The sequence below is a fragment of the Homo sapiens genome, chromosome X (assembly GCF_000001405.40).
Source record: "Homo sapiens chromosome X, GRCh38.p14 Primary Assembly".
Classification (NCBI taxonomy): domain Eukaryota; kingdom Metazoa; phylum Chordata; class Mammalia; order Primates; family Hominidae; genus Homo; species Homo sapiens.
Window position 1 is genome coordinate 96875756 of NC_000023.11, and position 12447 is coordinate 96888202.

The following is a 12447-nucleotide window of genomic DNA, read 5'->3' on the forward strand; positions in this document are numbered from 1 at the left end:
TAAAAAAAATAAATTAAAAAAAGACTTAAAGGTTAGACCTAAAACCATAAAACCCTAGAAGAAAACCTAGGCAATACCATTCAGGACATAGGCATGGGCAAGGACTTCATGTCTAAAACACCAAAAGCAATGGCAACAAAAGACAAAATTGACAAATGGGATCTAATTAAACTAAAGAGCTTCTGCACCGCAAAAGAAACTACCATCAGAGTGAACAGGCAACCTACAGAATGGGAGAAAATTTTTGCAATCTGCTCATCTGACAAAGGGCTAATATCCAGAATCTACAAAGAACTCAAACAAATTTACAAGAAAAAAACAACTCCATCAACAAGTGGGCAAAGGATATGAACAGACACTTCTCAAAAGAAGACATTTATGCAGCCAACAGACACATGAAAAAATGCTCACCATCACTGGCCATCAGAGAAATGCAAATCAAAACCACAATGAGATACCATCTCACACCAGTTAGAATGGCGATCATTAAAAAGTCAGGAAACAACAGGTGCTGGAGAGGATGTGGAGAAATAGGAACACTTTGACACTGTTGGTGGGACTGTAAACTGGTTCAACCACTGTGGAAGACAGTGTGGTGATTCCTCAGGGATCTAGAACTAGAAATACCATTTGACCCAGCCATCCCATTACTGGGTATATACCCAAAGGATTATAAATCATGCTACTATAAAGACACATGCACATGTATGTTTATTGTGGCACTATTCACAATAGCAAAGACCTGGAACCAACCCACATGTCCAACAATCATAGACTGGATTAAGGAAATGTGGCACATATACACAATGGAATACTATGCAGCCATAAAAAATGATGAGTTCATGTCCTTTGTAGGGACATGGATGAAGCTGGAAGCCATCATTCTCAGCAAACTATGGCAAGAACAAAAAACCAAACATCGCATGTTCTCACTCATAGGTGGGAATTGAACAATGAGAACACATGGACACAGGAAGGGCAACATCACACACCGGGGCCTGTTGTGGGGTTTGGGGAGGGGGGAGGGATAGCATTAGGAGATATATCTAATATAAATGATGGGTTAATGGGTGCAGCACACCAACATGGCACATGTATACATATGTAACAAACCTGCACGTTATGTACATTTACCCTAGAACTTAAAGTATAATAATAAAAAAATTTTTCAATGCAAATTGCATATTAAATTATTTTAAGTTTTATTATAAATTGATTTTAATATATTTTTTATATTTTTTGATACATAAATTACATAACTGTATTACTCTCCCAGTAAGAGATGGCTTTCTTACATAAATGGAGAGAAGCCATCTAAAGGTTCTGCACTATATAGCATTCTCTGTTCAAACCAAATATACCGCTATCAGAATAAATAAATAGATTCACTTGGATAGGGCACTTATTTTGTGTTTCCCTTTCCTCCTTGAACTCAAGGAACTGATGGTGATGAAAATGGCATTTTGATTTCTTATGTTTGAAAGTTATAGGAGCCTCTCCAAGAACAACAGTATGAACCTTTGTAGATATAATCCCAAATATGTTAATCTATAGCATTATATTTTCAGAGAACATGATGATAGATTAGAAACTTATTTGATTAAAATAGCCAAAGAAATGGACTTCATTAGGGTTTGTAAATCATGGTCAATAACACTAACAAAATTACTGTTTTCATGAAAATATTGCCCATCCTATTTGAAGATGACATCCCTGATACTAATTGCTATCTATGTGCATGCTGTATAGCTGAAAAGACCTGTGTACAATCAATAGTTCTGTCTAGTGTCTGCAGCAAGATACCTTTACAGCTAAGAACCATAAAGCCTTTTCCCAAGTTGTAAGTAAGTCTGTTTTTACATTAAAAAATGACAGACCATGCTCAGACTAAGTCCATCTAAACTCAGAAGTGATTATCTCCACTGCAAACTAGAAGTGTTCTTTCTTAGAATATTGCTTCTCTGCTGTTGATTTTAACATTTCATATCAGAGCAAGGGGAATCTGTGACTATTAAACTGGCCCAAACTACCTTTTGATTATTTGTGTACTGTCTTAAAATAATACAAGCCCAGTCACATTGACTAGTATCTCCATCCTAATGATTTTCAAATTAAGGAATGGCTTCAAATTAGGAAAGCTCTTTGTTCACCTAGGTTTGGAATAGCATGATGTATGCTAATTGCTAACTTTGTCTGCATTATTTTTTAAAGATCAAATGGGCACAGTGGTAATTTTCATTAATCTCATACAGAGCAGCTAATTAAAATTTCCATTATTACCCATCCATTATCTAGTTGTTTCCTTTGTTCAGTATCAGAACAGGATGTTAATAAGCCATTCTTGTCTTACAGCCCTATTAAGTATTATGAGAATTAATGTATTGCACTATTTTGTTTTTAGGTGATTTTAAAAATATTTTCTTGCACCATATTGATTATACTGAAGGTACTTTGACACCTTGACATTTTGTAATAGAGATTTCAGAATTAAATACTTGTTGCTTTAACGTTTTATTCAATATTGAGCAAAAGTAGTATATAGTAGAGACAGGAGCTATCCAAGGACCAGAATATTTGTTTTAGTCTCATACTCTTACTGATTATGTGAACTTAGGCAATTACTTGGATTCCTCATTTTTGTAATGAGGATATTAGAAGAACTGATCTTTAAGGGCCAGTCCAGCCTTAGCTTGCTATCATATTTTCATAATTTTCAAATATGAACTTATGTTAAAATCTCAAAGTCCTTCTAAGCTTGGTAAAAAGCATCTGTTCTATAAAGTTATATATTCTCTGTCATGCTCTAGTAGATTGTTTGCTTCCATTCCTTATAACCAGAGAGGATCCTAAATTTTATAATTTAAGCTTGTTTCTAAGACTTGGGTGGGGAGTGAGCCACAAAGTGATGGGCTGGCTCACTTGTCCACAAGGAGTACCTCGGCCATAACCATATGTCCCAATTAGACTAATCCTGTAGGGAATCAATTAGAAAAAGGGAACCAACATTTTCTCAGTAGATTATTCTGTGTCCATGAGATGCCCAATATAAAATACCTCTGAGCTGTCCTCAGCATACCATACAGTGTCTCAGTTTACCTGTTCTATATTCAGCATCTCTGAATATATTACAACTGAAAGTCTCAGAACTATAATATTCTGAAGCAAAACTAAGCTTAGAATCTTCAGCATGTTGAAACTCATCACTCATCTACCCTTTTGTTTATTCTCTATCCATCCATCCACCCAACCATCCATCCATTCATTCATTCAGGAAATATGTATTGAATGCTTACTTAAGCACTGTCTTAAGATCTGAGGATATAGTGGTGAACAAGGCAGGCAAGAATCCTGTCATAAGAGCTTATGTTTTAGCGCAGAAGACAGTAAACAACTAAATTACAAAAATAAATTTTCATAGAGGTAATACTGTAAATGATATTTAAAATGGTGTTGCGATGATAACTAGAATGTGGGGTGGGGAGAAGACTATGGAGCTGAGATTAAAATGATGGGAGCCAGCAATGGAGAGGTTGGGATAAGGGTCTTCAAGGCAGAGAAAACTGCAAAATACAAAGGTCACGCAACAGGGTTAAATTCCATATACAATCCTCTAGGGGAAGATTAGTGGTGCCTTTTTATATATTAATTTAGAAATAACTTTGAGGATTATATGAAAGCGGTATGTGACTACAGACTTGAAAATTTTAATTCGTTTTACTAGTAGTTTTCAGACTGGCACATGTAGTAAATAGATCCCTTGTTACTGATGAACTTTGTGTTGTTGTAGAAAGTGAGTTGGCCGAGCAAAAATAAAACTATAATTTTGAATTTGCAAAATTATGCTTTAAATATTTACTTGCTATTATTCCTTGTGAAATAATAGATGGATAAGGAAGTTACAGGAATATGGACATGATCTCTCGGTGATGGTTTTACTTACTGTGCCATTTAGGTGATGATGATTCATCCAGTATACTTTTTTATTTGTGGAGGAGACGGAGTCTTGCTCTGTGGCTCAGGCTGGAGTGCTGTGGCGGGATCTCAGCTCACTGCAACCTCCACCTCCCGGGTTCAAGCTATTCTCGTGTCTTAGCCTCACGAGTTGCTGGGATTACAGGCATGTGCCTCCATGCCAGCTAATTTTTGTATTTTTAGTAGAGATGGAGTTTCACCACATTGGCCAGGCTGATTTCGAACCCCTGACCTCAAGTGTTCCACCCGCCTCAGCCTCCCAAAGTGCTGGGATTCCAGGCATGAGCCACCGTCCCCGGCCCATCCAGTATATTTTTAACGTCTACTGTGTCTCATAACGAAGCAAGAAATACCAAGTCAGTGGCCATTATACAAAATATGGGAGCTCAAAGTATGAAATCGTATTCCTTGTTCTGCAGTTATTATGGAGAAGTTCAATAATAACACACTTTTATTGAAGCTCACTAAATTCATGACCGGTGTTAGTTATGTGGCATAGATGGAGTTCCCAATGTAGAAGTGAGACAGACACAAATAATGACCTCTACCACAATATTTTAAGTGCTATAATAATTATAATATTGCCACAGCGCTAAGGGAATAGAGTTCCCCTATATGTTATAAGCCTTTATCAGACTTTAAAAATTTAGCATCTAATGGGATTTTTGAAATTCAGAAATTAAGAATGATTAACACTTTCTACATTGAGGAGGCATTCTCAATAAAAACCCAAATAGTGTGAAATCATAGGGAACTCATTTCTCATTATTAACATTTTTTTAAATGTCATATCCTCTAATGATAATACCTCTACCCAATGGGGAAAAATTCCTTTCCTTATGATCTCCTTATAATATTATATTTCCTATGATAGTATATCCTTATGATGTTATTTTATAGTAAGTATCCTTAGATGCTTAGCAGAAACTGAGTGTAATTTTTATGAACCTGTAAAATGGGACTCAAGCTTGGAGTCTTAATTCAGGGATATACATTTACAGTATAGGAAAGGGGCAATTATGATTAGGTACGTCTAGAATGTGAAACTATCAGTTGTTAGTATAGTGAATGTGTTGACAATATTTTCCTCCCAGCCTTTTCCCTGAACTACTTATATAGTTATAGCAAGATGATGAAGTTAAGGAGCTGTGATGAGATGAGTTCTAGAAACAACTCCATCTATATTGAAAGTTAAGTTAAAAACTAGTCACTATCAGATAAATGTATTTAATGACTTTTTAAGATTAATCTACAACCTGAGAGTACCAGAAAGGAATAATTGGGAACTGGTGAATGCTTTCAACTGATTTGATTAATTAACATGCTAATTGGAGACTATATTGTTTTACATTTTAATAACTGTTTTCACTTATTTTTTTTAGAAAGGCTGATACTCTGATATCTTTCAATAGATTTGGGTTATGTATAATGGTATATATTAAATTTTATTTGCTGGATTTTGTGGAATTGAATATACATATCTTAACTAGGAAAATTAATAAGATGATTTTTGAATGCTTATCCTCTGGGTTAAGGAGGACTAGCTAATATTAATTCTAATGCCTGAATTGTAAATTTAAGCACCCCTGTCAATGACACTTTATGTAATTCAAGTTCATATTCTATTCAGGTCATGAGCACCAGCACTGTAATTTTTTTTTTAAATGAGGTTGAGGAAAATGTTGAGATATATACAACACAATTTTACTATATCAATTCTGTGATCAAGAATTTTTAAGTGTGTAGCACTCTGCACACATTTTTATATAACAAAATAAATATTCTATGCATTATTTTACTTAAATTTTTTTTGAAACATTGTCTAAAATGGTCTCTTTGTTTATTTTATAGGGTGGGCTGAAAAACAGCAAACATGAATGCACCCTGTCTTCACAAGAATATGTTCATGAATTACGATCGGGTATATCAGATGAGAAACTTCTTAATTGCCTAGAATCCCTCAGGGTTTCTTTAACCAGCAATCCGGTCAGGTAAGTCGTTCTTATCATTTCGGTATGATTCATACAATTTGTAGTGCATATAATTGTTTGGGAATATAATAAGTTTTGTTATTTAAACCTCAAGATTTCCTGACTAAAAATCTGATGTTAATAAAACAGCAGCATCTGATTGTGAAGTCGTAAACTTTTAAAAATATATTTAGTTAGTTGGATCTCTAGTAATGTACAATTTTAAGAATACAAATGTTAACATAGAGCCAGAAGTTAAATATCCACATTTACATGGAAATCTATTTGTGGGATCAGATAATTATTATATATTTATTTATAAAGCAAATTAAGTATATTTGCTCCATGATTTTATTCTTTTTTTTTTTTGTGAGACAGAGTCTTGCTCTGTTGCCCAGGCTGGAGTGCAGTGGCACGATCTTGGCTCACTGCAACCTCTGCCTCCCAGGTTCAAGCAATTCTTCTACCTCAGCCTCCTGAGTAGCTGGGACTACAGGCACGCACCATCATGCCTGGCTGATGTTTGTATTTTTAGTAGGGAAGGGGTTTCACCATATTGGCCAGGCTGGTCTCGAACTCTTGATCTCGTGATCCACCTGCCTTGGTCTTCTAAAGTGCTGGGATTACAGGTGTGAGCCACCGCGCCCGGCCGATTTTATTCTTTTAAAACTTGAAAGGTATATATAACTTTATGTTCTTCTATAAGTTTTAGATATACTCTTCACATATTTCTGTAATTTTGAGATAGCAAAAAGTGAATTATTTTAACCAGTAAAAGAAGTGAGAGCATTAATAAACTTCTCAAAACTCTACTAATTTAGGCTATTAACTAACTACAAAGGATTGTTATTAGGTTACTTGCCAATGGTGGATTCCAGTAACTGTGGTTCCTTTATTAAGCCTTTAAATCAATAACACCCAAAATAAAATGTTTTATAAAGAAAAATAAAATTTCAATAAAATATCAAAACATTCTTGGCCGGGCGTGGGGGCTCACACCTATAATCCCTGCACTTCAGGGGGCTGAGGCAAGTGGATCGCTTGAGTCCAGGAGTTCGAGACCAGCCTGGCCAACATGGTGAAACCCCGTCTCTACCAAAAATACAAAAAAGTCAGCCAGGTGTGGTGATGTGCGCCTGTGGTCCCAGGTATTCACGAGGCTGAGGTGGGAGGATCACCTCAGCCCGGGAGGTGGAGGTTGCAGTGAGCCCATATCCCGCCACTGCACTCCAACCTGGGAGACAGAGCGAGACCCTGTCTCCAAAAAAAAAAAAAAAAAAAAAAAACAAAAAAACAAAAATCCGGGATCTATTTATGTAACTACTAGAATCTTAAGTTCAGAATTTACTCCATAAGAGTATATAAAAAACTTACTGTGATTTTATCCATGTTTTTCCTAATATATAATAGGTCTAAGTCTTGTACTTTTCTGTCCTGTCCACAGAGCCTTGAAAATAATTTAGAGCTCAGTCATTCAGTTTGGATTTATGTATAAATTGAAATATATTAATTACTTATTTATAGTGCACTTGGCAAAATGCCCAGAAAATTACAATTTTAAAACAACAAAAAATTTTTTAAAAGCCAGTGTTAAGATGTGACTTATCTTAGAGTATGATAATCGTTGAAAGACGATTGTCTTGCCATTTCTTCCAAAATGCTCCTAGGTTTTTTGTTTTTTGTTTTTTGTTTTTTTTTTTGAGACGGAGTTTTGTTCTTGTCACCGAGGCTGGAGTGCAGTGGTGCTGTCTCGGTTCACTGCAACCTCTGCCTCCTGGGTTCAAGCGATTCTCCTGCCTCAGCCTCCCGAGTAGCTGGGATTACAAGCCTGCACCACCACGCCTGGCTAATTTTAGTATTTTTAGTAGAGACGGGATTTCACCACGTTGGCAGGCTAGTCTCGAACTCCTGACCTCAAGTAATCAACCTGCCTCAGCCTCCCAAAGTTCTGGGATTACAGGCGTGAGCCACTGCGCCCGGCCTGATGCTCCTAGTTTTAATGGTTTGAATGAACAGGGGACGTGAGTTCTTGAGAACAGTAACTACGGTGGTGCATTTTTCCCCCCTGCACGTAACGTACAGCACTCTACCGTTTTGCCAAGCACTTTGTGCTCCTAAAATTTCTGTTGCATTGTTGTTTGAATGAATGAATAAATGAGTCTTTTAAAAGTAATTGTAGAAGTTGCAGCATTAAGAAATAAAGAGGGGGGCTAGTAAAAATGCATTTTTATAGAGATGTTGGGAAAGGCTTGCTTGAAATTACACGTGGGACTTTTAATAGATAGGCGCTTTGACCAGCTAAGCAACAGGGCTCCCCTCGTGTGGGACTTTTAGAATGTAGCAACCACTGACACACAGGGAAGGATTATGCGATCAGGTGAGAAGGTGGCCGACCCTGACTGGCTGGAAGCAGATGCATTCTGGTAGTTGATTGGTCCACAGGTAGCGTGACGCTTGTCACGTCCTCAGCCTCCCAGCATTCAATCGTAGCCTTTCGGACAGCTCGAAGCCTTCTGTGGAGAGCTCGAAGCCTTCTGTGGAGAACTCAAAGCCGTCCGTGGAGCCCCAGACGAGCCAAAGCCCACCTTCTCCTCAGCCTGAGCTGTCTTGAAGATGAGTAAGAGTGGGTTTGGGAGCTATGGCAGCATTTCTGCTGCTGATGGAGCGAGTGGAGGCAGTGACCAACTGTGTGAGAGAGATGCAACTCCTGCTATTAAGACCCAAAGACCTAAGGTCCGAATTCAGGACGTTGTACCGTGTAATGTGAACCAGCTTCTCAGCTCTACTGTGTTTGACCCTGTGTTCAAGGTTAGGGGAATTATAGTTTCCCAGGTCTCCATCGTGGGGGTAATCAGAGGGGCAGAGAAGGCTTCAAATCACATTTGTTACAAAATTGATGATATGACCGCGAAACCAATCGAGGCCCGACAGTGGTTTGGTAGAGAGAAAGTCAAGCAGGTGACTCCATTGTCAGTCGGAGTATATGTCAAAGTGTTTGGTATCCTCAAATGTCCCACGGGAACAAAGAGCCTTGAGGTATTGAAAATTCATGTCCTAGAGGACATGAACGAGTTCACCGTGCATATTCTGGAAACGGTCAATGCACACATGATGCTGGATAAAGCCCGTCGTGATACCACTGTAGAAAGTGTGCCTGTGTCTCCATCAGAAGTGAATGATGCTGGGGATAACGATGAGAGTCACCGCAATTTCATCCAGGACGAAGTGCTGCGTTTGATTCATGAGTGTCCTCATCAGGAAGGGAAGAGCATCCATGAGCTCCGGGCTCAGCTCTGCGACCTTAGCGTCAAGGCCATCAAGGAAGCGATTGATTATCTGACCGTTGAGGGCCACATCTATCCCACTGTGGATCGGGAGCATTTTAAGTCTGCTGATTGAGGCAGGGAAAACATCCTTTCATTTTTCGAAGACCCTTGCATCCAGCTGTGAGTAATTTTGACCTGTTGACTTTTTAGGAAGTAGGACTAAAAAAAAAAATCTCAAGTGGCATTCTTTGTCAACTCGCTGCTTTTCTAACTGCTTTGAACTTTTCGGATTTTCTGTATTTGAAGCTCAGAGAGAGACGGTGATGGATAAATTGACAACTCTGTAGGATTTACTAGCAAGCTAATGGAAACATGATTTTCGGGGAAGAAAAACTACAGAAAATGTAGAAATTTATTATTTAATTGTGTTGGAGCTTCTTTTTCCAAAAGAAAAACTAGTTGCAGTCAGGGAGCCAGCGAAAAGACAAAAAAAAAAAAAAAAAAAAAAAAAGTCTTGCTTGTTTTTATGTTAGACTTATTTTCCGTGTTTGGATTTAGCTTATTATAATGATACTGTTATCTCTTGCTCAATATAGTATTTAGTATTTGATTAATTCAAATGAGCTGAAGATACTAATTTGTGAATTCTAATGCTCAGTTCAAACATTTATGTGTGATTTGCTCTTATTACTATGAATTTATGTTTTCTTAAAATAAGATTATACTGTGTTTAAATAAACCATTTTTGCCAGGTTATCTTTGAAATTTTTTAAAATGTGGTGAAGTTCAATGATTATTTCATATATGATGTGGTATTTGGATGAAATTACAATTTATTGTAGTTGTATGGTAAATGGATGCCAGAGTTTCTGTAAGTTTGATGTGCTGGTGTATTATTTATTTTACTAAATGCTCTGTTTTATGTATAAAAAGGTAATTTTTAGGACGTTAGGGAAACAGCTCATAGGAATATGAAACTTACTGAGTTTAACACAAATTTATTCAAATGTTTTATTAAAGTAGTTTACAAAATCTTAACTTTCCTGTGTGATTTTTTTTTCTAAGTACATTTGAAAAAGCCTTTTTGTTTTATATCCTTGAGGATTAATAGTTTCACTTATCCAGAATTTTTTCTTTTCTATATATAAAATACCCAGAACATATGCTATAGCCTAGTTCTAACAATACATTTTAGTGTAGATTATATAAATTATGTGAGACTTTTAAATAATTGACCATTAACGAAAGCCCTCAGTTACCTATACACTAAAGATGGTGTCTTTCAAGATGCTAATTTTTTTACATTAGAGGAAATAAAAAACATATACTTTTTAATGAATATATGTTATATTTTATATATGTATATTCATATATAATATACAAATAGAAGAACATTATTTGTCAAATTGAATCATGAAAACTGCAACAAAAAAAAAATCTCTTAAATGGAACATTGCCAGTACTCCGTACTTTCAGGAAAACTTTCAGAAAATGGCCTGTGTCAGTGGCCATTAGAAAAACCACTAATTCTTGCTTAAGCTTTGTGATGCATATTTTTCTTCCCCTTGAAAGTAAAGAAATTGTAAATGGCACTCTTGAAAAGCACAGATGAATAACATACTATAAACCTGTTACTTAAATTATCAGACATTTTGAAAATTCTGGTCTTCATAAACCTAAAATATTCGGAACCACTTTTTGTTGAAAAAGGTTACCTGTCCTAGGGAAAATCATACTGGGGGAGAGGCAACAAGGGGCATATATACTTGGAATTGTGGAGCTGAAAGAGTCTAGCAGATACAATATTCTTTTGTGACATTAAAATCTGATATTTATGAGTATAATTATAGGTCACTCCCATAATTGCTTGAGCTGATTCAGCTGGCCAGTGGATGCGTAGCCACTTGTTTTTCCTATACTAGGAGCATGCGGAGGGGGAAAAAAACTCTTTTTTTTTTGTTTGGGAGGCCAAACTGCTTTTGTCCCTGCAAACTGATACACTGAGATATGTACACCTGAATTTAAGGCAGAAGACCAACCTCTCTCCCATCCTGTGAGGGGAAATGTCCTCTATCTGTGTTCGTTGGGGTTTTTTTAGGCTTTTAAAATTACTCCTCCCAACGCTTATTCTTCTGAATGGAATCGTGTGCTTTAGTGGATTCTGCTGCAGGTAAGAGATAGCAGTGGAAAAATAGTAAGTAGGTCTAGATATAATGTCAGTGGAAATAAAACACTTTTAGGCAGAAAATCACTGGATTGTTTTATACATGTATATTTAGTCCATGTTAAAGGTAGCAGATTTTTAAAGTTCATTTTGAACACCCACCTGGCATGCATACTTTTTCAATTTTGTTTAGACTGGGAATGACTTGGCTAATATCCCCTTTCTCCAAGGTCCTGCCCTGATAGTTAGCCACACCTTTTGAGGATAAGATACAAATCCTGGGGACATACTATTGACTATTTTGGGCAGGGACATTTAAGCCTGAGGAACCTGAAAAACATAATTGATGATTATAATCCACCCAAGGTTTTTTCCTATGGCTCACAGGCTTACGAAATGTATGTATTTATATTGAGGTTGATTCTAAATTAACTATGAATAAATATATTTGAAAGTGTTTTCAAGGCCAATATAATAATCTTACTATGGTCATAATTATTAGTGATCATTTTGTTACTTTTACCTACTAAATTTAGTAATATTTGGAGTAGAAGCTGAAAAACATAAGTTCTTATATTTTTTCAATTTCTGTTTACTTTTTATAACAGCAATTTAAAAAATGTAACTAGCAAGAATTATGTTTGTTCCTGAAACCTTTATTGAGTTCCTACTATATGCATTTAAGTGTTAACTTTAATTTTGATAAGCTTAAATTTTATTGACTTCTGAAATGCTTATTAAAGATAGTAATAGTTAACATTTTAACATTTATTTAGTATTTATTATCTCCCAAGTACTGTTCTAAGAGTAGGAGTTGTGTGTATGTGTTGTGCGTGTGTGTATGTGTGTGTGTGTATGTGTGTGTGTGTATGTGTATGTATGATCCCTGTGATGCGTAGATTTACGTTTTCAGCTCAGACCTCTCTGTTTCTCTCTCTCTTTTTTTTTTTGAGACAGAGTCTTGCTCTTGTGGCCCAGGCTGGAGTGCAATGTCACAATCTCGGCTCACTGCAACCTCTGCCTCCCAGGTTCAAGTGATTCTCCTGCCTCAGCCTCCTGACTAGCTGGGATTACA

The 12447-nt window shown here is 36.5% G+C and overlaps 2 protein-coding genes across 3 annotated transcripts in view; both read left to right on the top strand.

Moving 5' to 3' along the window:
• DIAPH2 (diaphanous related formin 2) overlaps window positions 1-12447 on the top strand; it is a 920156-nt gene that overhangs the window by 190914 nt on the left and 716795 nt on the right. For both annotated transcript variants that reach the window (NM_006729.5, NM_007309.4), the window contains exon 5: window positions 5824-5963. In NM_006729.5, the coding sequence (NP_006720.1) occupies window positions 5824-5963 (140 nt within the window). The remainder of the gene's footprint in view (window positions 1-5823; window positions 5964-12447) is intronic.
• On the top strand, window positions 8153-9712 carry RPA4 (replication protein A4). The gene has a single exon (NM_013347.4). The coding sequence runs from the start codon at window positions 8556-8558 to the stop codon at window positions 9339-9341; it is 786 nt and encodes a 261-aa protein (NP_037479.1). The 5' UTR covers window positions 8153-8555; the 3' UTR covers window positions 9342-9712.

Excerpts from the sequence above, each read along its gene's own strand:
- RPA4 (NM_013347.4), top strand. The coding sequence starts at position 8,556 with ATGAGTAAGAGTGGGTTTGGGAGCTATGGCAGCATTTCTGCTGCTGAT.